The 26,715-nt window shown below is 39.4% G+C and overlaps 1 protein-coding gene across 30 annotated transcripts in view, besides 2 other annotated features; it reads right to left on the bottom strand.

Moving 5' to 3' along the window:
* RBFOX1 (RNA binding fox-1 homolog 1) overlaps nucleotides 1–26,715 on the bottom strand; it is a 2,473,620-nt gene that overhangs the window by 451,981 nt on the left and 1,994,924 nt on the right. The gene's annotated exons all lie outside the window — the stretch shown is intronic.
* Nucleotides 14,505–14,705: a silencer, noted in NCBI's record as "peak2487 fragment used in MPRA reporter construct". NCBI's record gives its function as "represses an SCP1 promoter by STARR-seq MPRAs in K562 erythroleukemia cells {active_cell/tissue: K562}" and the evidence as "EXISTENCE:reporter gene assay evidence [ECO:0000049][PMID:32103011]".
* Nucleotides 16,709–16,878: an enhancer, noted in NCBI's record as "experimental_44361 CRE fragment used in MPRA reporter constructs". NCBI's record gives its function as "activates a minimal promoter by MPRAs in K562 erythroleukemia cells, with activity observed for both the introgressed and non-introgressed 16:7294568 variant alleles {active_cell/tissue: K562}" and the evidence as "EXISTENCE:reporter gene assay evidence [ECO:0000049][PMID:34662402]".

The raw sequence follows: 26,715 nt of genomic DNA, 5'->3' as shown, positions 1-26,715 counted from the left end.
CATGACAGTAGTAGTGATGATAATGATATAACCACAAGCCAACTTTTATTGAGAACCTGCCATTCATCAATTCCACTTTATACATCATATACTGTCTCCTTTAATGCTCAGAACTATTCTACAAAGTTGAAAGCTAAGGCTCAGAGAAGCTAAGTGACTTACCCAAATTCACACAGCCAAAACAAGCAAGAACTGCGGCTGGAGCTCTAGTGGGTTGGCTCTTTGGATATGTGTCCTACAGAGGAAGTCCTGACTTGATGCCATTGTCCCTCCAAATTCCTTTATTGTCCATTTTGGGCCATTTTTCAGGTGGAGTCATAGACGCCAAGGTAGGCTTGGGAGAAACTTCCACCATCCCCTGAAGTGACTCAAATCTTTTGCCATGAACTTTCTTGACCCTTGAAGGGGCTGTAGGTGTTTGGCCAGAGCCTAGCATTCACCGTAATGATGGGTCCAACCCCAGTGACTGCATCAGAACTCCCCCAGCTCTTAATTAGATAGGGGTTCCCTAACTCTTGCACCTGGGGTTCATAGAAAAGCAATTTTCCATTTGGTCTTTCCAAGGACCCTGCTGTTCGGCAGCCTAGGGAATCAGTCCCTGTGTGTTCTATCCTGAAGTTCGTAAAAAGCTTTGGACTCCTTCAGGATTGAGTGGAAAATATTCTCATTAGAACATTAGAGAAACTTAAAAAAAAATCAATAAACTAATGGAATATAACACCAAACGTGCCCTTTAGCCAGACTCTGTTATCTTACCTACATAGCGTCTCTACATGACACATAATGGAGATGCGATGAGTTATTCCCTGAAGATGCAGCCTTGGAGGTCCAGGGAGACTAGAAGCAGTTAACGGGGAAAGAGTACATCAATATGCACGAAAAAAAAAATCAAACAGTGCCTTAGCACCCAGAACAAAACAGTTTGGGAGCTTTGTGGGTGATCTTTGGTTAATTGTTTTTGTTTCTTTCTTTCATTTTCTTGCTTAATTTTTAAGAGCGGCGTTTAATAAAATTTTAACAAAACACACACTGTATTATTTCACCTGTTAATTCAAACCAAAAGTGAAGCATGTCTGGATATCTGGCAAGTCCAAGTTAACAGCTAAAGAAAATGCAGTCTTATTTGTTCTATATGCAACAACTTTAATTACGCTAAAAGCATGTGATTCCATAATGATATGAAAGTCTTGGTTTGATTTCTGTATAAAAGTGTTATTCATTATCTCCTCTAAGCCTTCATGCTTAAGGATCCATATACACAATATATGGTTATATATTTACAGAAACAAAACAGTGAATAGACAGTCTCTGTTCTTATGGAGCTTATAAACAATGACAAAAGACAAGCCACACATTGCACAAAAGCATTGGGATCAACTACTTGAGCCTGAAATTACTAAATCAGGGAGGGGAGGGATAATGACAGTATAAATTGGCAGGCATTCATTTATCCCAGAATTATTTACCAAGGGCCTACAATATATTAAGCACCTAATACACCAGGTATACTAGATTCTTATTACACACACATAAAATTATCCTTTCTGGAGAAAAGGTAGTTTTTTAAGAAAACATTTCCCTCCCTCCCAATTAACTCACCAGCTATTGATAAAGCATGTGGCATTGTTACTACAAGTTCATGACTAAGTGAGTGATGTATAAACATCAGAAAACAGTCACCTCTCAAGTTAGTGATAAAATTTCAAAAGCTATAGGCTTGTTTATTAGAAATAATAAAAAATACAGAGAAAGTGTTGGAGTTTAAACTACTTTTTATCTTAATCCTTTTTTTTTTTACATTGGAGATTTATACTGACTATCTCCTGTTTCTCTCAGTAAATGATGTTCCCAGTGTTCAAAGCAGTATTTGTATCACCATTAAATGCAAATGGCTGCAATATTTTATGCAATGGCATGAACTCTACAGGGGTCTCACTCATTAAAAAAAAAGTTCCTGCCCTAGGAATATCTTATATGTGATGTGTGCTGAACGACTGGAACCCATTCGCTTTTGGTTAAAGATAATTTGCATGTGTGTGCCTGAGAGGGGAAGGTGTTTCCATAGGGTTTAAGCCTCTCTTTGCAGTTGCTTTCCTACTAGCGAAAGCCTTCCTTCCTTCAGTTTAATTGTATAGCATCAAAGAGAAAGCCCTTACTCAAGTGATAACTTCATAGCGTGATGGTGGAGGAGAGGTCATGTGGTGTCAACAGCTTCTCTCCAGGTGACAGATTGATGGAGATGGTCAACCAGGTTAAATTGCTTCTCATGGACTTTTCATAAAGTAGCTTTGTTTCATTTTAGCTACTAGTTTTCTCAAAGGTAGACGTGATCACTAGTTTGAAGAGGGGCAAGAGGTGAGGGAATACAAGGGCTTGGAAAGGTATGCAATATGTCATAGGTGAAACAGGACCCATCTTTCTTCCATCTAAAAACTTCACCTTATGGGAAACCAGAGGACCACTGCAAACTTTTAATGTTCTCCTTTCCCAGGAGCCCTAATAATTTTAAATCAGGGTCTCTTACTTGTAAATTCAAAGCATGAAATGACATCAGTTAGAGGAACCCTTTCTCGGTTCAAAATCAGCAGTAGTTGCAGCAACTAATAAAGTTGAGGTTAGTAATGGGGAGACAAATGAGATTAAATGGCTCTAATAGAACAGCAACCATGACCTTTGCAGTTCATTTGAAATTCAGCCATCATGTTAGTAAAATAATATAGTACAGGATGGATATTATTTTGCTTATATGATATATAGATCTCTAATATGAATCTCATACTTATGAGTAAATTACAGATGTGCCAGTACTGATATATTTTTACGTGCATGTACAACAATATTTCATAATCTACTTGCAGTAATTCGCCTCCCCCCTTGACAGAGAGAGAGAGAGGGTTTAGGAGAATATAGAAGATGAAACAGGCAAATAATGCACACAGTGAAACAGAATGTCAAATCTTCCCAAGTTAAGTGTATTTAGACATGAATCTCAAATATACAGTCAATAATTACAACCATTAATATTTCTTATCATTTTCACTCATTTTAATGTATAAAATACGGAGGCTGAATAAATTAAAGTGACTAGAATAATTAATAAGAAGGACACTGAACTGAAAATGCATTTAAGATCTTTATGGTGTGCATACATGCCTCTCTGTACATGGCACATTGTTAACCATACCTAAAGCTCTCCAGAATAAAATAGTCAAGAAATTATCGCTGGTACCTCTGGAAGCAGTGAATTATGAAAAGGCATTTTCATGAACAGAATATGGCCAACTGAATTTTATATTTCAGCACAGTGATCAATGCCTAAAGCTACCAGTTGTGCTGATTACATTGAACATCTCAAATGTCAGAGTTGTGTCGATACAGAATTCCTTCATTAGGCTCTGTTCAGCTTTCTTTCCCCCTTTCCTCCCTTGAAAGCAGGAGATACGAAGATGGAATCTCCTTGAAACCAAATCATTCCCTGCCCAAAGAGTAACAGAATCCAGCCAGAATGCAAGGACTTCCAATTTAATTTCCTTAGCTAAATGCTTGCTATCAACGATGATAGCTCTTGCAGCCCTCAAATCTTCCATTCAAATCTGCAGAGTTCTACTGAAATTCTAACACAGGCAACATCTATGCAGAACAGAGCAAGGGAGAGATTTCCTGGCCACAAAGAAATAAACACTGGACCCAAGGATGGCTACAGAGGAGGGTTGGGAGTACAATCTCACTTTGGAAGAGCAGTTCTCGGGAAGGGGCTCTTGGTAGGTGTGGATAAGCAAGGGTGGGCAACGGTGGGCTGGAATGGGAGACAGTGAGGTCTCTACTGGATAAAGCATGGGCTACCGGCTCATTAAGCAGGTGAAACCCGGGGGGTATGGCTGACAGCCATACCAGTCCAGCTCCCAGTGGCTGCTATTTCAGTTTGCAATCAGTACATTTTCCCTACAGTGACTTCAGAAATAAAAGAGGGAAGATAGAGGGGCAGCAAGTCTCATGAGGTTGCATGTAATTTTACCCCAGGTGGTGACCTTTGGGTGGTGGGAAATACACAGGAAGCGTGTGGGTTCTGGGAAAGAAATGATACTCTCACTTCCTCCCAGTCAGGGATCGCACTCTCAGCTGGGGATTACAGCATGACCCCGGGGATGGGAAGATGTTAGCGATTAAGTCTTAATGAGATTTTCTGATAGAGAAACAGTTGGACCGGAAAGGGTTTTCCGAAGGCAATTTCGTTCAGTTTCACAACTGTTCACTGAAGGACGATGGCATGCAAAGCCCGGCTCTAGACACACACGGGAAATGAAATTATACAGCATCCCATTCTCCAGGAGGGTCGGATCAGAGGGGGAGAGGAGACAGGATCAGAACGAGTAACAGAGAATGCCAGCCATGACACATGCCACAGGAGAAACAGAAAGGCTGTTTCCCATGTGGTCAGGGAGAGAGACTTGGGTAGGTTTCCCGGGTGTGATGGACTTTCAGATGCCCTAGTGGGGATAGGGAAGTGACAGGTATCCACAAAGGCAAAGATGTGTGCGTAGAACGGTGAGAGAGCTGGTGACTGGTCCAAGATTCGAAGTTAAATGCAACTCACAGGACAACCGTATTACTGACATTTGGCACCAGTGAACATGGCCCTGGGCGTCCTTCTCAATGAGACAGGGAGCGATTATTTACCCTAAAGGGGTGGAAATGGATTCTTAGTTACAAGAGGGTAAGAAATTTTAGATATGACTTTGGTTTGTGGCCATCCAGAAGGCCACCATACATCAACGCACACACAGTTTACATGGTATAAACAGACATACAGTGTATGTGTGGTATTAAAATTTAATGAGGGAAGGGGAATGGTGATTAGGAAGGGAAAAAAGGTCTAAAAAGGCTCCTTGGTGAAAGGTCAGCAATAATGCCATAAAAGATTGAGACAAACTAGTGTAGGCTTCTCCCATGACAGCCGCCTTTGTCTTTCAAAGAGATTGAAAATGAATCTGAGGCCAAACCTCAGAACTTCTGGTAGGAATGGTGGCTTCATCAGAGATCTGCTCGCTGACTGTGGAGGTGAGGCTTAACCTCTCCCCTCATCAGAACCCCAGAGGCCTGGCTTTTGGGAGCAGGGGTTACAGAGCTGGAAGGCAAGGGAGTAAAGAGGAGAGCCAACCTCATACCATCTCCAGCTTCTCGCCTCGACTGAAAATAGGTCACGGATTTACATTCTATGTATTTATTTTTAACAGTGCATTTTAGAAGCTCACCACTCCCTATTAAAAATGAATGATGACTTTAACAGTGTATTTTAATTCCAAATTACAAAGGCAGTATGTATTCATTATGGAAATTTGGGAAATGCAAATAAGACAAAAGGAGACAATAAACTAACACCAACACACATAATCACCCCATCCCAAAGTGAACACTTTATGATCTTATTATATTTCCTCTAGACTAGTGCTATCCAATAAGGTAACGGAAAGCCATATGTGGCTATTGAACACATGAAATGTGACTGATCTGAAATGAGACGTGCTGTCAGTATAAAAATGTACATTGAAGATTTAGCACAAAAAAATGTAAAATATATTGTTAATATTTCTATATTGATTATATATTGAAATATGTTGGATATATTAAGTAAAATTTATTAAAACAAACATTTCATGCATTTATTTTTTTAATTCAACCACTAAAAAAATTACTTTGCATATGTGACTTGCATTATATTTCTACTGAACAGTGCTGGTCCAGACCTTGCTTAGGGATACGCCCATGCATGCACAAATATAAACATGCTTTAAAAATAGATAATGTGGTGCAAATTCTTTTTCAATCTCTTTTACACTAAATATAAGCTGGACATCTTGCCATGGCAATACATATTCACTTATTTTTAAAGTGCATGTTTAAACATTAAATAATGTTGCATTATGTGGATATAACAAAATGTTATTAAACCAATCCCCTATCAGTGGATACTTATATTGTTACCAAGTAGTCACTATTATTACAACTCTGCAATTAACATCCTTTTAACGAAATCTTTTTGTACTCAAAGTTTCCACAGCAGTGTGATAGAATGGAAATAGCACAGAGTTTAAGGTCAGGCAATTTTTGGTTCCTATTAAGTCTCAGGCTTTAACCAGCTGTTTATCACTAAGCAAGTCATATCTCTACCCTCAGCCTCATTGTCTAAAATAGAAACTATCTTTCTATTTTTCAACAGTGTTGCAAAGATCGGAGATGGGGTTATTTTTGGCACATTGGGGATACTCCCTAAATAACAGCTAACGTTAATATTATGAATAAAATATTAAAAACACTACTGTTATAAAGTTCCAAAATTATGCACACTCAGGACACAACAGCAAATAAAACTCAAGAAAACTGTGGAAAACACCTTCTTATTAACGGTTGAGCCATTAATGAGTGAATTGAAATTTGAAATGTCTAGAGAAATGATGGTACAAAATGCAGTGACCACATTCTTGAAAAATTCATACCTATTTCAGACCAAAATCACTCATTCTAAACTTCCAGTCTTTTTCTTCTTGTTCATCATTGTATGAAATACAACATAAAGCACCCTTCTAGGTATGAGCAATAATGCTTCAGAGACGTAATGCCTATAATTTAGTTTTAGGATAATAACAATTGCAAAAATGGCTTGTGAATGTCTTTCTAACTTAGATTTGAATGGCTTTCACCTCCAATCAGAAGACAGGATTGAAAAGAAAAATTTTTCCTCTTTTAAGTAGCAACAGAGAGGATTATATACCTGGGAGGTCCTTTGGAACACAATGATGAGTTGGTACAGTTAGAGAAATAATAAAATAACACCTAAAATGGGCATATATTGATAAAAAAAAAGAGAGAGAGAGAGACAGGAACATGACATTTGGAGTCTTTAGAGACCGCAGCTTGTTTAATCAGGCCAGTGATATCTTGGCAATGGAGATTCCAGCTTGGATAATCTAAGAAATGTGCTAGATAATCCAATAAACCCGATTAACCTAAGGAGCCCAGGGTTGGTCTTCCTGCTGAATTAGTAATCCAAGAAAAGGGCTAAAGGCAAATGAGTCAAGAATTTCTTTATGGAGTGGTTAATACTATGAGTCCTTGCTGCCAAACAGCTCCTTCTGGGATCCTTGTTTCTCCAACAATGAACTGTGTGATTTCAGGCAAACTATTTCATTTCTTTTCTCATTGGTCTTCTCATTGACAAACAAGGGGGTCACAGGGTTGATGTGAGAATTAAAATAACAGGTGGAAGTAAAGGGCATTCTTAGCACAACAACACAATGCCCAAAGTGAAGTAAACTCTCAAAAACATGTTAGGAGGATTTACACTTTCCATCCCTGCTAACACCATAACGTATTTTCAAGGCAATTCTTCCTTTGCTGTCTCACACTGTAATAGTCCCCTTTCTAGATACAAGAGAGCTCCTATATAAAGACTCTTCAGATTCAGGTAATGAACGAACAAAATATTAAATCCTCCAATATGCATTTCTCAAGAGCTCTCATGTGCAGACCTTGGACTCAGTGTTGGAGACACAAGGAAAAGATTCCTTCCCATCATGAACTCCCAGTCACAAGGAGGCAGCAAGGTAAGTAACGAGAGGCTCCATAGATCGACACAGAATACTATGTGGTGATGGAGTAGGGGTTTCTAGGCCACCTGAGAAGTAGGGTAAGGAGAAGTGATGTCAAAGCATAGGCAAGATGGTCATGTAGAAATGAGCTGAACAGAAAAAGGAAAAGAGGCTGGAAATGAGAGCATTCAGACAGAGGAGACATCCAGAAATGACTCAGAGGTGAGAGTGCATTTAATGTTTTGCAGATGGTTAGAAAGGAAGTGATGACAAGGTCAATGATGTATAGATAGGCAGAGGATTGATCCTGAAGTCTCGTTGGGAACTCAGACTTTACCCTAAGGACAAGGAAGAGGTTGAGGGGTTGTCAAGCCGGAGAACACCATGCAAAGCAGTTAGAGTGAAAATGAACCAGAAACCAAAGCCTGACATGTCTCCGCTCTTCCTTGTTGCCACTGACATCAACACGAATTTCTGAATAGCTCCACAGAACTGACAGAATGATTTGTTGATTTGACCCCCAGGAGAATACCTGTGAATGGTGAAGCCACTATGAACCACAGGTTCTTTTGTCTTGGTCTCTGCTTCTTCCAAAGAAACAAGAAAGTGGAGAAGAGATTTTATCCAGCGGAGCCATCAAAATGCAAACAGATTGACCTAGATATGTTTGCTGTGTCCAGTGATGCTGTGTTTAAAGGTAATTATAAGAGCGTAAATGAAAAAGATGGAAAAGATGCAGAACACTCATTTACCCAGAAGGGCTTATTATCAGAGGCTCAAGATGCTGAACTTCCTTTAACATATGTGCATGCTTATTTACAAAATTTACAAAATGTGTGTGATTACACACATGCATTTTTGGAGGCTCTAAGATAACGGCTCTGCCAAATATGGGTAGGTCATATGAGTTAGGGAAAGATCACTTGGTCTGAATTTAGGTACCACGTTCACATCCCAGATCTGACGTTACTATGTAACATTAGCCCAGAGATACCTAATGCCATCAAAAGTGGAAATAATAATAGCCAACCTAAATACCTTTAGCGTTGGGTGACTCAAATTTAAAAAAAAAAAAAAAGGATGTAAATGAAAAAGGTTACGTCTAGGACAAGTAGCTGACACCAATGAGTAAAGCAGGTTAACTGAAACACTCAGGCTACACCCAAAACATTTAACAACTACCAAAGCTCAACAGATTGCTGTTATATTGGATGATGGACAAGCTTTGTCAGATCTTCCAACTTTTAATGAAAAGCCAGAAATATAAAGATCTGTGCAAAATTTCCAGATACTTCAGTGCTGACGATGAATTCCAACATGAAACAGCAAAAAGACAGCAAAGTACAAAAGGCCTAGGAACTGTCAGTTGAAGACCTCTGCCCCAGCCAGATGTGTAACCTTTACTTGTAATGAGCAAGCACAGAGTGGTGAATGTAATTTGTTTTCCACTTTCCTTATAAGTTATATTTCCACTTACTTCAAGTCAATGGAGGAAAAGCTTAAAATTTAAAGTTTTGAATGAACGAATAAATGAATGGAGATATGGGGGAAACAAACAAAAATCTCTCAAAGGAGAACCAGCTCCTTCCTCCTTTTTGATGATGTAAGAAATAGGAGTTCTCATAGCTAGGCTCTACCTGCAATTCTGAGCTGGAAAATAAATCCCTTCTCTTCCTTCTGAATTTCAAATTCAGTAACCATGTTTGCAGTGTGCTAGAACACAATATCCTTCTCCACTTTCTGTCTCACCACCCAAATACTGTAGAGCTTTTGCATTTTCCTTGAAGACTCTCTTTAAGAATCACCCAGTGCCCCACTGTTGGTGGGAATGCAAATTAGTACAGCCATTATGAAAAAAATGGTATGGAGGTTCCTTAAAAAATTAAAAATAGAACTACCATATGCTCCAGCAATCCCACTACTGTGTATATATCCAAAGGAAACGAAATCAGTATTTTGAAGGGATATCTGCACTCCCAGGTTCACTGCAGCATTATTCACTATAGCTAAGATATGGAATCAACCTAAGCGTGCACTGACAGATGAATGGACATGACCAGGCACTGTGGCTCATGCCTGTAATCCCACGACTTTGCGAGGCTGAGGTGAGCAGATCACTTGAGGTCAGGAGTTCAAGACCAGGCAAGCCAACATGGTGAAACTTCGTCTCCACTAAAAATACAAAAATTAGCTGGGCTTGATGGCGGCGAGGGGAGACACGTGTAATCCCAGCTACTTGGGAGTCTGAGGCAGGAAAATCACTTGAACCCACGAGGCAGAGGTTGCAGTGAGCCAAGACCGCGCCACTGCACTCCAGCCTGGGCAACAAGAACAAAACTCCATCCCCCACAGAAAAAAAAAAAAAAAACGGACAGAAGTATGCTCTGTATCTACAATGGAATGTCATTCAGCCCTAAAAAGAGATAAATTCTTGTCAACTGCAACACTGTGGATGAACCTGGAGGATGTCATGTTGAGTGAAATAAGCCACACACAGAAGAACAAATACTGCGTGATTTCACTTACATGTAGAATCTGAAATAGTTGAACTCATAGAAGTAGGGAATAGAAGTTTGCTTACCAGGGGCTGGGGTGGGATTGGGGTTGGTGAGGGTTGGGGAGATGTTGGTGAATGGATACAAAATTTCAGTTAGATAGGAGGAATAGTTTCAAGAAATCTTTTGTTTAACATGGTGACTATAGTTAATGACATGTATCATGTTCTTGAAAATCACTGGAAGAGTAGATTTTAAGTGTTTTCACTACAAAAATGTATATCAGATAATACACGTATTAATTAGCCTGACTTCGCCATTCCACAATATATACATATTTCAAAACGTCATGTTGTACATGATAAATGTATACCATCTTTGTCAATTCAAAAAGTTAATTCGTTATTATTTTTTTAAAGAATCACCCAGTGTCCTAAGTTCCCTAAAAGAAGGAAACAGAGTAGCCAGAGAAACTGCAGCTGTCTTGGTGCCTGATTCTTTGGTAGAATGACATAAAGGTCATACACAGCATGACCCTCCCTGGTAAATACGTTCACATAAAATGCCCTGGGTACATAAAAAATTCTGAAAATTCAGTATGACGTCCTTCAAGAGTCTAATGGTAAAATGCACTCCTCTAAATGCTTGCTCAGTGTCTGCTGTGTACATAGTTATGATCCCCGTCCCTGGGGTATATACTCTTAGTCTTTGCCTTCAGGTAGTTTACTTTCTTGGAGGGAGGGGATAAAAACTAACTAAAGCAGAGACAAGGTAAGTGTAATCACAGCAGCTGAGGCTGCAGCTGAGGCGATGAAGCAGGAAACTCTTGTGGTTCACTTAGGAAGGATTTCACTTAGAAGACACAAATGAAGAAATGGCTTTATATCATTAAGCTGGCTTTAAAGCATTTAATCATTGTGTCAGCATCCATGGTCACCAGTAAACAATTAATATAAGCATCCCACGCTCCCAGGAACAGCAAAAAAAGCATTTGTTTTACTCTTCAGTGTTATTTTTCACCTAATGGCTAATCCACAAATGTCTACTAAGTGAAATCATGCTTCACATACCATTTAGAAACACCACATTTGAATTTTAAAAACAAAACATAAAGATACTTCTCTCGAAAATCAATAAAAGGCTTGAAAGACATGAAGAAGCAGATTTTCCCAGAGGAAACACAACTGGTTCAAAACCCTATGGGAAAAAAAGGGGGAGGGATTCTTAGAGTTACCAAATACGTGCAAAACAAATAGGTTCTATTTTTTATAAAAATGGCAATTGGAAAGGATTTTATAATGCTTCTCTTCATTATTAAAGGAGATTTAGAGAAAGAGTCTCTTAAACACTACTGTTGAGAGTGTAAATTGGTTTAACCTTTCTGAAGAGATCATTTAACAATGTGTATCAAAAGGCTTAAACATTTGTATAACCTTTATTCAAGTATTTCCACTTGTAGGAACTGACTCCAGAAAGTCCTGGGTGTGCTTAAGATATAGACACAATGTTGCTCATCACTGTCGGTTTGTTATGGTGGAAAATCAGAGATAGCACAAGAAAAAGCTCAGCAATTGGGACTGTGCCAAAAATAAAAAATACATAAAAATAAATCTGGTACCCATTCAATGATTTTATTCTTCAGCCCTTTCATTATTCTTACAGGCTCTTTTTTTTTTTAAAGAAAGAAGCCTATGAAGAAGGAAATTTTCATAATATATAGCTATATTAAAAAACTACAAAACATATAAACAGTTGATATACAATGTGGGAAGTCAGAGAGAAAGACAGAGAATTCAGATAGCTGGAAAAATGCTTTCTCCTTGGTGATGTAAGTAAAATTGGTATAAAGCTCCAATTTCTATGGCCCTTGGAAGTCTAGTGATGTCCCCAGGTTCCTGCAAATTCTCAGGTAGATTTTGTTCTTATTGTCCTCCAGGCTCCTCCTATCTTATTTATTCTCTATTGCACCACTTTCAGGGTTCATCCAATAGAAAGAAAAGAAGGAAAGAAAAAGACAATGAAGAGAAGGGAAAAAAGAGGGGAATGGAAACAAACCCACCCTTGCAAAAACATTTAAAAATGTAGTCAACTTAGCTGAAGGTTGGTGGTGATACCACCTAACCCCCAGCTTTCTGTTCCTTTCAGCATTGATTCCTTCCTTTCCCTCTCCCATTTCTCTCTTCCCCTCCCTCTCCTATCAGTCCTATTCCTGGAACACTACTTTTCCCTCCCTCTATTATGCAGAGCAGTGCTGTATTCCCTGGCTCCCACTCTCAGTCTTGCAAAATCAAACCTATCTGGGATTCCACAGACAAAGGGACCTCTCCTAGAACAAGATGGTGCTACCCGCCTTTCTTGGGCGATGGCTGTTGGCTATACATAGCAACATTTGCCTTGTTATGTATATAGGTAGGATATACATACAGATTACAAATAGATGACAGCTAAATGATTACTCAAAAAGGCAACTGTTATAAATAGCATTTTCCCTGATATATCTCTGCCTAGACATACAGAAAAATCAATTAATGATAATGCTAATTCACATTATCTCTGGATGATGAATAACATGCAACTCTAATTTTCTTGGTGCTTATCTGCAGTACTTGAATTTCCTATAAGCAACTATTAGTGTTTTATAAAAAGGAAGGTCAAAAACTAAGTTCACTCACCATAAAGAAGAAATGCCTAGTTCTGGAAGGAAGGTGGCTCATGGCTGAGATGACAGGTAAAACCATCTGTGATGGGTGAAATTAAGTAATGCTACCCCTAATTCAGCTAAGCCAGCAAGTGTAAGCGTGAAAGTCTCTGTTCATTCAGATCCTACCTTTTCCCCCAAATGACTGGAAAGATATGAAGGGACTCAGCTAGAAGATTCTGCACAAATGTATTCTGATACCCACATAGGGCATCCTACTAGAAGAGCTGACGACAAAATGGCCAACAGCACGGTCCTTTATGAACAAGGAAGGGAGTGAGCAGTAGGTAGGAAAGGCAGCAAGAATTTGCAAAGCCGTTCATGTGCCACTCACTGTGTTAATGGTTTGTAGACCCTTTTCTAAACATCACAGGGACCCTATCAGAGAGCTGGTAATATCCCTAACTGATAAAGAAACCAAGGCTCAAAACTGAGAGCCATCTCCCTCTGAAGTCTTTGCCTTCATTCACAGTTCTTCCTAAAATCAGCGGTTATTCTTCCTTCCAGAACCATATTCTATTTTTTTAAGGTTAACTTTTATTTTAGGTTCAGAGGTACATGTGCAGGTTTGTTATTTGGGTAAACTTGTGTCATGGGAGTTTGTCTTACAGATTTTTTCATCACCCAGGTATTAAGCCTAGTACTCATTAGTTATTTTTCCTGATCCTCTCCCTACTCCCACCCTCCACCCTCTGATAGGCCCCAGTGTGTGTTGTTCCCCTCTATGGGTCCATGAGTCCTCATCATTTAGCCCCCACTTATAAGTGAGAACATGCAGTGTTTGGAACCACATTTTAAAATACCTAGATGAACAGCACCGACCTTGCTCCCTGCAATGGAAATGTACTTAACCTGGATTTAAAGAGGCTATGTTTCCCGTATTCCATTTCAGCTAAATTAAGAGATGTGTAAATGACAAGCAGTCACTAATGTATTCTTAAAATCACGGCATTCCTGAATCAGGATATACATTCATTTAAGGATGACCTGGGGGCTTTTAGCTTTTGTTAACATAAAACTATTCATTACTTTCATATTATTGTGGCAGGCACAGGGTCTTACAGAAAAATTAGTAATTCTCAACTTTAGCTAACATTTACTGAGTGCCTATCACATACCAGGAACTTAACACTCATTATCTTGCACAACTCTTAGTGTGTGGTAGATCACCATAGAGGAGTATTTGCTCCTTCTCCACCTCCATGGGCAGAGTGTACTTTCCTACCCGTTGGCTGTGAGTGTCCCCTCCACTGCGGGTGTGTCTGTGAGACTTGCTTTGGTTAAGGAATGTTAACCGGCAGCGAGTGTGATGCGGTTAAAGGCTTGAAGGCGTTTGCACAATAGAAGTTTCTCTTGCACTTCTCCTTCACCAAGAGAACATTTCTGACTAGCTACTATTCTCCAGCAGAGGACTTGAGACACAGGGACCAGAGTTCCCTCCAAAGCTGAGCCTCCTCACTTGAGGGCCAGCTGACCTGCAGACACATGACTGAGTGCAGCCTAAATCAAGGACCCCATTGTACTACAGACACATGCACTAAACAAGTGCTCACTGTTACCTGCCAATTAGATTTGTGATTGCTGGGGACCAATAGGAAAAGAATACATAGGGTATCCTAATGTGGGAGACACTGTTCTCATCCCTGTCGTAAAATGGGAAAATTGAGGTTTAGGGAGGTTGTATAACTTTCCTGTCTCGTGGATGGCAGAACTGGAGTTCAACTTTGACTCTGAAGCCTTTATGCTGTAGCTCTCTTTGATCAGTCAGTCAGCCAGTCGTTGAACCTGATATTTAATAAGCCTCTGGATGTGCTACGTAGGCGCTGTCCTTGGTGCTGATACCACCGCAGTCAGCACAACAAAACTCCAAGAGTTCTGTTTTACCAAGGAGGAAAGGGAAGGAATAATTGCATTCAAACTCAGTAAAAAAAAAAAAAAAAAAAAAAAGGAGGTGACCATACAGTCTGACAATAAATAGATGTGCAACAACAAAAAGCCCTAGGTTCATAATAAGCTTGGCGTTTGTGGAAAAGGAAGGATGCCACCATGGTTTGGTACAGTTATAAGGGAGAGACTGGAGAGAGGCCAGATAATGCAGAGCCTGAAAGCAAAACAACGAGTTTGATTTAATTCTGCTTTCAACAGGAGGCCACTAAAAAAATCACACATTCAAGAGGAAAACATTCGGGTTATCACTTCAGAACAATCTCCATGGCTGCTTTGCTGTGGGGGATGCCAGGGAGCAAGGACGGAGACAGGGAATCCAGGGAGGGTGCTGCTGGAGCTGCCCAGGTGAGAGGCAATTGGATTGCATTGGATTAGGGTGGTGGCTGTGGAGAGGCTAAGGATTCCTTCCAAATTTTCTCTCAAATTTGAAAGCAGTCCTAACTTCCCTAATTCTAAATTAGTCTTGGCTTCAGCAAACTTGAACAAAACATTTACCAGCTTAGGTATCAAACTAAGTTATGAAAAAAACTCTCAAAATATTTGCTTAGATAAAAGTAAAAACATACTTAACAGTTGTGGAATTAATCATTCATCTAAGGTGGGTGATAATTTGTGCCACACTTGAAGTGGAAAAACAAATTTCTATTTACACTGCAATCTATACTTTTTTTCAGGGATGGGCTAATTGTGTTTGTTGAACTGTTTCAAGCTGCTATGGGCTGGGAGAATTGAATATCTATTTGCAAGACTGTAGGGATTAAATTAGATAAACGCAAAGGGGAAAGTAATTGGTAATTTGTGAAGAGTTGCATGAGTGTATGAAGTGCTGTCTAAAGCACTATGCAAGACTGATGGACAAAAAGGGCAACCCGAAGTTATTTTCTTTTTTCAAAAAAGCTACTTTTCTCTAATGCTAAGTATCCTTAAGTGAGCAGGCAAACATCTTTCAACAAACAAACAAACAAAAACATAAGGCTAAGTAAGCTTGTTTATCAGCATAGCTCTTTCTCTAGCTCTCCAAAAGTTTAACCTCTCAGAAAAGTTATAAAAATCAGATTTAAAATTTTATTTATTTTTGTCTTGTTGATTATGAAAATACGTTTTGCAAATCATAATAGCCTCTGTTGGTCAACAGTGGTGAATTGAAGACCAGATAACACCCCCAGGTATGGTTTAACCTTGAGTTTCAAACATTCAACTAATACTAGGTGACGGGTTGATAGGTACAGCAAACAACCATGGCACATGTTTACCTATGCAATGAACCTGCACATCCTGTACATGTATCTTGGAACCTAAAATAAAATTTAAAAAAACTCAAGAGTACAGGAAACAAAAGATAATGAAATAACATCTTCAAAGCTCTCAAAGAAAATTACTCAAAATCTAGAATTCTATAACTATATGAAATATTTTTCAAATGAAATATAAGATATTTATTATTTTAGTTAGGATCTAGAGAGACATGTAAGACCACTGTTCTATGTTATCAATAAAAATAATCTAGACTAAGTAACAACAATTAAATGGACATACAGCACCTAGAAATAAGACTTTTCAGACTCTCTTAGGTAAACAATCAGAAAGTCTGGTATATTTCTAATTCATGAAAATGGTATGCAGCTGAGGAGCAGCTGCACTGTGAAGGCAGGCATGAGTTCCTCACTTTGCCACAATCCCCACTGCTCCCTACTGTGCCTCTGACATGAAACACCAATTACCAATTAGCTTCACTTGGGATACGGAGCTTTTCTTACAGTAGAGGAATATCTCTTATTTAGGCCCATCATGAGCAGAAGTGGGAACAAGGAAACAAAACCAAGACAGCCATATGTCTGATGACCCAGCCTGCCTCCTTCGAGTGTGATGACCTCCCAGGTCCTGGATTTAATACCTCCGATCTTTACACACTACACAATATTGGAAGAAAGTCAGTGAAAACTGGAAAGTACCCACAAGTTGCATACCATACATTTACAGGCTTAAGCAGCAACATTGGTTGAATACTGAATCTAACTCGAGCCCTAGGCCAACCCCATTGTGTCCTAATTAAAGTTCCCTTTCTCTAGGAGCATTGCAACTGAGAGCCACCGCTGGCTCTGACTCTAATGGAAGCATGCCAAAAATACAATCTTACTTAAGAAAACTGAATATGATTTTGCAAAGAGGATGGCCAAACTTGATCTCAATATGACAAGAAATGACAAAGATGTGTGCTGAAATGGCTGGCTCAGGAAAAAGGACCAGCATGGTCCATGGGGATGCATCTTGAGGGTTTGAAGAAGTTGCTCAAAGGCCAGCAACTTTCAAGATCAAGATAATCTCAAGGACTGAAGTGTAGTTAATGAAAAGCCCAAGGGTGTTTTTTTTTTTTTTTTTTTTTTTTGGAATACTTTGGCATTTTCCTAGAACAGACTCTGAAGAAGGGATGAAAGATATATTATTATAAATGTTTATTTACTCTGATTTTTTTTCTCTGGAGTTACCCTTTGATGACAATACTGCTGTTTAAGATTGAGCTGTAGACTGACCTAAGAAACAGAAAATAAAAGTTTTATTACATAATGATTATCTTTAATCTTGCTGTGAAAACAAAGATCATTTTGAGATATTGATTTAAAAGCTATGAACATTCTCTCCAGGAAAAAAGAAATGTATGTTAGTTATCGAGTTTTGTATGTGACTTCAGAGGTTTAATGAATCTCTTAAATCCATTAGAAATTAAGAGTTTTGATTATGTGAAATCCCAGATTATAACATAATCATTAAGAACAAAGAATAAGGGGTAGGATGCAGTGGCTCATACCTCTAATACCAGCACTTTGGGAGGCTAGGCAAGGAGGATCACTTGAGCCTAAAAGTTCAAGACCAGTCTGGGAAGCACAGCGAAACCCTGTCTCCACCAAAAAGAATAATAAAATTAGCTGGATGTGATGATGCACGCCTGTAACCCAGCTACTTGGGAGGCTGAGCTGGGAGGATCACTTGAGCCCCAGAATTTGAGGCTATAGTGAGCTATTATCATGCCACTGCATTACAGCCTGGGTGACAGAGTGACAGCCTCTCTCAAAATGTATTAATACTACTACTAATAAAGAGTAAGGGGTCAACTTCCTGGGGAGCCCTTCTGCTTAGCCACAACATATGTGAATTTTTTAAGCCTCAGTTTCTTCACCTACAAACAAAGATAATGTCAACCAAAGGTAATATGCCTTTCTTCCACATCTTTTTGTTTTGGAATAAATTTTACAAAGTGACCATGATGTCTCTTCATCTCATACATAAAAGAACTAAAGGTCAGAGAAGTCTAGTTGCTGGCCTAAGGTCACACAGCTGTCACGTGGCACACCCTGACCACGCCTATAGGCTGGTTTGGAGAATAAATGTGGTACATTCATGCCAAGTGCTTGGAGTAGTTGTTGGCACGTAGCAAGAGATCAATATGTGTTTGCTGAACATTCACTTTCTGATTTAATACTGGGTGTGTTACAATTTTAATGAAAACATTCAAATGTATTCTATATTGATATTCCTAAAACGTTCAGCTAATGACAAAGAATAAAGGGAATATATTATTATATTACCAATTTATATTAAAAATGCCAGGGCTTGACATCCTGAAAATCCAAGTAACAAAAACAAGAGGAGGAGGAGGAAGAGAACAAATGAAGGAAGAAGATAAAGAAGGTAGACAGGTAAGGCCGACACAGCCCCATATGCAGGATGAAAATGTCGAGAGGCACTGCTTGCAAACTGTCCGCAGACTCCATATCTCTCTCACCAGCACAGTCCAAACCTGGCAAAGTCAGTCGGGTCTGAATCAACAAACAGAAAATTTGGCTGAGCCGTTTAGCCAGTTCTTGCAGACAACTAGTTAGTCCAACCCAACCCATCATGCACGTGGCCACTCAATCAGAAACCTGGTCCAACTGGCTGCTTCAAGTCACATGGATGCAAATCACGAAGCACGGATGTTGGACTGAATTGACTGCATGCTGAGCATCCTGCAGCTGTCACCATGGAAAGTTTGTTCAGCTTACTCTCAGCCAATGGCGAAGAGACCTCCCCATGTCCAAGTTGCCACGTGTTCCAGACCATTCCATTTCCTTAGTCAATGTGTAATGAGGATGCAGGGGGAGGTACACTGTATCTATAAATTCAACAAGTGGTGAAAAATAATCATGATGTTGCCCATTTCAAACATAAAAGAACTAAAGCTCAGAGAGATCTAGTTTCTTGCCCAAGCTCACACAGCTGTCATGTGGCACAACCTGTCTGCATCAGAAGGTACCTTCCTTTCCAATGATGATATGTCATGCCTATTATTTATTTTTCCATGTGTTTTATTCAGACATTTACATGCAACCCTGTCTCTGAATTTTCAGTGAACACTCTTGTCAGTCCTTTGGGGATAAACTAGGAGACAGTAGTTTCCATGTCTCTTACAGTAAGTGCATGACCTACACATATATGGGTTTCTCTGTGCGCATGTGTGCCAAGCAATAAGCAGGGGTTCTCAACAGAAGGAAAATTTGGAAATTCCTGGTGACTTTTCAATTATTGTTATCACTGAGGTGCCTATGGTAATAGCATCTAGTGGTCAGGGACACTGCACAAAAAAAGGGATTACCAATCCAAAGTATCAAGAGGGCCAAAGTTGAAAACCCTTAAATATATACACACGCATATGCAGATATACATATTTAGGTATATATGCACTCATGTAATTATGTATACACAAATCACATATAAGTATATTTATATGCATATATACTTATATACATATTTACATATTTAATATATGTATAAACATATATGTATATGTGAGTATCTACATTTATAGACAGATTGAAAGAGAAAAAGAAGGGGGGATGAGAAAATGGGCATGTGTGTGTGTTTGTGTATATGCATATATATTTGTCCATTTGTATCACATTTGTCATCCAGATGTAGATTTTTTGTAATGCACTCTTACTGAAAATATGACCAACATAAAGAAGAAATGTTTTTTCTTTATTATAAATTCCAGATAAAACATTTTAAGTAACCCTCTTGCAATGCCCCAACCCAAACAAAATTCATAAAAGTTCCTGCCATAAAAGTGTTTGCTGTGAAATTTTAATAACTTTCAAGATGTCCTGTTTCAAGAAACATTTTAGTCATCTTGAATGAACCAAAGGGTTTAATTAAACAACCACACTTAGACGTTGGAATGCATAATTTGCCCATTGAACTGCAAATCCCCTAATCCTACAGGGAATCACATGCTCTTTCCAAGATAGTCCAACGGGCCAGGAGGTGACCTGCTTCCTGCTTGGGCCACACCCATTACTCAAGCTGAGAGAATTAGAATAAATAGTAGTGCCGAGACTGAGATGCCAGAATTCAGCTAATGAGAATAAAAACTCCGTGTGATTTATGGTAGAGGTGGGGCAATACATTTCAGGGTTATGAATAATCAATCCTCCAGTGGATTTTTCATTTTCCAAATGCAGGGGATACTTCTGCCTCGGGTCTCAAGCCAGAAATGGCAATCTGATATAAATACTAAAAACTGCGCTAAATAAACCTTCTTTTCCAACCCAAATCCAGTGGCTTAATTTTCACGATAGCCAGAACAGATATTGTTGTATATTAAGAGAATTGTTTGGGAAGGTGTGGGGGAAAAGTAGAATGTTCCAACAAAGTTAGAAACTTTTTGTGCTGCTGTTTAAGATCTAAAGCAACATTAGTACTTCAAGAAGAGTTTCAAAAAACAATATTTTGCCAGGTGCAGCGGCTCACGCCTGTAATCCTAGAACTTTGGAAGGCTGAGGCAGGTGGATCGCTTCAGTCCAGGAGTTTGAGACCAGCCTGGGCAACATGGCAAAACCCCATCTCCACAAACAAACAAACAAACAAAACTACAAAAATTAGCCAGGTGTGGTGGTGAATGCCTCTAGTCCTAGCTACTCAGGAGACTGAGATGGGAGGATCACTTGAGCCCAGAAGGTCAAGGCTGCAGTGAGCTGTGATCATACCACTGTACTCCAGCCTGGGTGACAAAGTGAGACCCTGTCTCAAAACAAACAAACAAAAACAAACAAACAAACAAAAAACACCACGAAAACCCCAGTATTTAGAAACAGAAATCAATACAATAAAATAACATACTCCTCCTTCATCTTTAACATGTTTCTTTAACACACACTATATGTATCAAATGCAGATTTTCCCTTAAACTGTAAGGGCTTCAGATGATCACAGATGGTGATATACAAGTATAACATAGTGAAGATCATTAATATATGTAAAGTACTTAGAACACTACCTGATGAACACTGCTCCGTAAACATTCATTATTATTATCCTTAAATCTTATAGATTCGGCAGGATGCATCGGCTCATACCTGTAATCCCAGCAGTTTGGGAGGCCGAGGCGGGAGGATCACCTGAGGTCAGGAGTTCAAGACCAGCTTGGCCAACATGGTGAAACCCTTTCGCTACTGAAAATACAAAAATTAGCCAGGCGTGGTGGCGGGTGCCCGTAATCCCAGCTACTCAAGAGTCTGAGGCAGGAGAATCGCTTGAACTCAGGAGACAAATGTTCTAGTGAGCAGACATTGCAGCATTGCACTCCAGCCTGGGCGACAGAGCTAGGCTCAGTCTCAAATAATCGTCACCATCATCTTATAGTTTCAACAGGTAGGAAGTTTTGGAATTTGATTACAATTGAAATACTAACTACCAATGAGAAATGTTCCTTTTAGCACAACGAACTCTATGGGCCCAGTTTTCAAGTAGTAGTTTCAAGTAGAAAAATGAATATAAATGATATTTGTTTTCTTCTTATAAGCCAAATGCCCCATTTTCATCCCTAAGTGAGTTACTGCTGATTCAAAGAAACATGAATACAACATCAGCAAATTCTAACCAGCTAACTGCCTAGATCAAAGACCCAGAAGAGTAAAATAATCATCTAATATAAGACAAATGAGTTCTCACGGTCTTATCAGGGGGCAATAAAGCCTCAGAGAAGCTCAGTGTTTTCTGTTTTTCTTTTATTCTTTCACACATGCAAATGGTCTTGACAGGACAATTTCACTTGTTGAGGTATCATCCCAGCCGATTCCAATTTTTATTTATTTATTTATTTTTTAGACAGTCTTGCTCTGTTGCCCAGGCTGGAGTGCAGTGGCACGATCTAGGCTCACTGAAACCTCCAGCTCCCAGGTTTAAGCAATTCTGGTGCCTTAGACTCCCAAGTAACTGGGATTACAGGCATGCACCACCACGCCTGGCTAATTTTTGTACTTTTAGTAGACATGGGATTTCACCATGTTGTCCAGGCTGGTCTCAAACTCCTGACCTCAAATGATCTACCCTCCTTGGCCTCCTAAATTGCTGGGATTACTGGCTGATTCCACCTTTTCCTGGGCATCCTGGCACCCACAGTACCTACATCAATGGTAGAAGTAGCCTCATCATATATCAAACTGCATGGTTTAGGAAAGGCAAAGGAGAAAATGATAATAAAAAGACATGCATGTGTATATTCAATGCAGCACTATTCACAATAGCAAGGATGTGGAATCAACCTAAATGCCCATCAATGATAGACTGGATAAAGAAAGTGTGGTACATGTATACTGTGGGGTGCTATGCAGCCATAAAAAAGAACAAGATCATGTCCTTTGCAGGAACATGGATGAAACTGGAGGCTCTCATTCTCAGCAAACTAACAAAGGAACATAAAACCAAACACTGCATGTTCTCACGTATAAGTGGGAGCTAAATGATAAAAACACGTGGACACATAGAGGGGAACAACACACACTGGGGTCTCTTGGCAGGTGGAGGTCAGGGGAGGGACAGGATCGGGAGAAACAAGTAATGGGTACTAGGTTTAACACCTGGGTGATGAAATAATCTGCACAACAAACCCCCATGACACACAAGTTTACCTATGTAACAAGCCTGCACTTGTACCCCTGAAGATAAAATAAAAGTTACAAAAAAAGAGAGAAAGAAATGCATATTCATTTTATTGGAGATTCAGAATTTGGAACGTACACAAGATGGGAAGAACACAGAAGTAGGCTTTCCTAAAGGTGCGTGTGTAGCCCAAGGTTGGAAAGATGAGGAGAGTAACCTAGGAAAAAGTACTAAGTAAATATTGCAGGAAGGGGAAACAACCATGCAAAGGCTCTGTGGAAGCAAAAAGCAGAATCTGTTTTGGGAACTTAGACAAGGGCAGCTGGCAGATGTGCAGAAAGCAGAATTTACTTCTTCTTTTAATTTTTATTTTATTTATTTATTTTTTTTTTACCATTTTAAGTCTGCAGTTGAGTAGTGTTAAGTACATTCACAGTGTTGCACAGCCATTCCCAACATTCATCTCCAGAACTCTTTTCATCTTGCAAAACTGAAACTCTGTACCAATTAAACACTAACTCACCATTCCTCTTTTCTCCCAGCCCTTGGTAACGACCATGCCACTTTTTGTCTTTGTGAATTTGACAACTATGGGCACCTCATATAAGTGGAATCATGCAATATTTGTTCTTTTGTGACAAGCTCATTTCACTTAGAATAATGTCCTCAAGGTTCATCTATGTTGTAGCATGTATCAGCATCTCTTTTCTTTTTTTGAGACAGGGTCTTGCTTTCTTGCCTAGGCTTGCGTGCAGGGACGCGACGTGGGCTCACTGTAACCTCCATCTCCAGGGTTCAAGCAATTCTCATGCTTCAGCCTCCTGAGTAGCTGGCTTCACAGGTGTGTGCCACCATGTCCAGCTAATTTTTCTATTTTGAGTAGTTGAGTTTTCACCACGTTGGCCATGCTGGTCTCAAACCCCTGACCTCAAGTGATCTGTCCGCCTCACCCTCCCAAAGTGTTGGGATTGCAGGCTAGAGCCACCACACAGTCGGCCAGAATCTCCTTCATTTCTAAGGCTGAATAATATTCCAGTATACACCACGTTTTGTTTATTCCCTTGTCTGTGCATGGACGCTTGGCTTGAGAAAGCAGAATTTACTTTCTAAAGTCACCTATACTGAAAGAGGCAGAGTTGACATAGGAAGCCAGTTGGTCCAAATCTAGAGTCTAAGCACTTTGCTTTTCACTTTTCTCATTCTATTGTGCTTCAGGCTAATGAGATATGTAGATATGTGTTACATATGTAAATGAGTTACAATCTGTGCAGCCTTTAGAGCAGTGCCTGGTCCAGAGACAAAACTATAGAAGGATCAGTTCAAATTATTATTAATTATTATTGTATGTACAGAACACTCAATTAAGGGCATGGCCAAAATCCATTCTGCACTCTGATGACTCATTCAAATGCTCAGCAGACAGGGAGGGAGAGAGGACGGAAGAGCTCATGGTCCCCGCTGGGACCAGCTGATCCAGCATGTGGTCTTCTGGATTACAAGGCAAGAACCCAGATGCCAGGCAAGGGAAGTTATTTTCTGTGATGGCATCTGGCACGCTGGCCTATCCCAATGACATTTGGGTTGGCGGCTGTATTGCAGCCCCTGGGAAGTTTTGGAAAGTAGCTGGCTGCCACCCAAACCCCACACAGCTCTCTACCTCTCCTGAATTCCTCTCTTGCTGATGGGTGATGCAATAACCTCTCCCTTCTAGTGAAAGAACGGCTTGCCTCTTCCAAAGCCAGCTTATCCTAGTTACACAGAGTTTATAAACCACAACACAGAGGCAGGCAGATCATTTATAGTAATGTTGCTAGAAATCCTCCCAACAACAGCCATTCTAGAGAAGGTGAACTAAATCCTGCGTGCTTCCAGTGAACCTAGTCTTTGCTGAGGACAAGATATGTTGACAAACCCAGGCACAAGGACTGTCTGCCTTATCACTGACTGCATTTTTAATGACTGCTGAATAATTCAGGCCACTGAAGGCTGGTGCGTGCTTGCAGTGGCTTAGAAATTAAAAAAAAAAGAAAAAGTAAAGTTACTAAATTACTTCTGCAAACAACTACTAAAAGCCACATAGACTTCATGATTTGGGAAGTTGACTACAATGTGCTACCTTAAAAGGTGGCCATTTTCAACTTAGAGATATCAGTTCATCTGACAGTAATTACCAAAACAGATGGGGAAAATGCCAAAAGTAGAATCCTAATGGCAATGGGATGGATGCATTTAGGAACCATGGAGCAGAAAGAGATTCTGCCAGATTGCATGACAGCGGAGAGGAGAACTGAAGGCCAGATGTTGTGCATGTGACAATACCTTAAAAGAGGGTACGCCCCTCTAGACAAAATAGGAAGGGGAGAAATGTTCTACTTTTTGCATACATGATCTCCTTCTCTCCCTAACTTGAGCTGAAACAATATGGTGTTAAATACATCCTATTAACCCTAGTTCGCACCTCATACAAAGCACTTGGGCTTCCCTTTACAGATCTAAATATAACTCTTGAATATTTACTTTGATTTTTATATATTAAATATGAGAAGATTAATGCTTAACAGTAGCAATGTTTAGGTGAGCAGGATATGACACAAACAAGAAAACACTCTAATTTCTGAAATGTTGAAGAGGTAAGCTAAGTCCAGATAGACAATAACCAGGATCTTTTTGATCTGAGGAACTATTTATACAAAATGACCATGGTCTAGTTAAATCTCTCTAGTTACTAATCAGCAATGGTGCAAGCCAGAAAATGCACCCTTTCTAATGAATATTGAAATTGGCTGTCATTAAGAGAGAACATTCACAGGAGGGCAAGGAGACAGTGATCAATATTTATATGGATCCACACTGCTTCATTGATTAATAGCCTTCAACTGTAAAAACTGGAATTGTCAGAATAAGGCATTATTTTTTAGTTCAGGCTAGCACAGGATATTACTTAGCTTTAAACATTTTTAACAATTTTTGGTCAACCCTTAATATATAAATTGCAAGGCAGGAAAAAAGAGACAACTTCTCTCCAACCCTCAAAGAGGATATTCTTGATGTCATGGCAGAGGGAGGCATCATATTCATCCCACAAAAGGCTAATTCATCCCAAGATATGGCTGCCCATCAATTGAAAGGGCAAACGCAGCCACTGCCTTTCCATCACAACATACATCCATTCAATGTACATAAGCGATGAAGCTACGGGGGCCCATAAAATGTCAAAAACTACCAGCATCTCCTTGTTTACGATGTTTACATCTTACAAACAAAGGTCCCTCATCTAAACTGGTTTGTGACTACATCTCTGTCTGTTCTTTTCAGTACAGTAGGTCACTTACTCATTCTCTTGCCTCCTGGATACATACCCTGTTCTAAGCCAAGAGCCAAAAATACCACTAGGGAATGGTCACACTGGTTGCCACACTTAGTCAATAATGAACAAGTGGCTTTCTTTCTGTGTAACCCATCCCTGAAATGTAAAATAAAAATCCTCATCCCAGAGCTATTCTCTCCTTTCTAAGGAATGTCAACATTTTAAAGCACTTTAAAAATATATGATGCCAAATGAATGTTTATTATTAGTGTGACTACTACCGATGTGTAGATTTATATACCTCTTAAAGAACTTTTTCTGTTTTACATTCTTCCTTCCACTGAAGCTTGTCTTGCTAAGAAGAATTCCACCATAGCACTTCGACTTGCCTTGCAAAAAATCGTTAGACATTCCGTTTTTTGGACTGCAGAGGTAGAAATAAATTTCTTGGATCCAAGCTACAGGCATAAAAGCAAGTCTACAGTAAGTCTCTGAAAATGGAATTGGGAGATGTCTGTGAATAATTCTTATGGGACATACAAAATTGTTATCCATTAAATGCTAAAAAACATCCACGTACCAAAAATGGGGTGCCTTGCATATTTTTGGAAATTGAAAATGAGTTTGAATGTAGTCTATTACCCATTTCTGACTTCTCCGTTCAGCACAGGGTATTTACAAGGATTTGGTGAAAGCAACTTATATATATAACATATATATATACATATATATATAAAATATGTATACATATATACATACACACAAACA

This window comes from Homo sapiens, chromosome 16, assembly GCF_000001405.40.
Source record: "Homo sapiens chromosome 16, GRCh38.p14 Primary Assembly".
In the NCBI taxonomy this organism is placed as follows: Eukaryota; Metazoa; Chordata; class Mammalia; order Primates; family Hominidae; genus Homo; species Homo sapiens.
The sequence above is the reverse complement of the archived record's forward strand: the minus strand, read 5'-3'. Positions and strand labels throughout refer to the sequence as shown.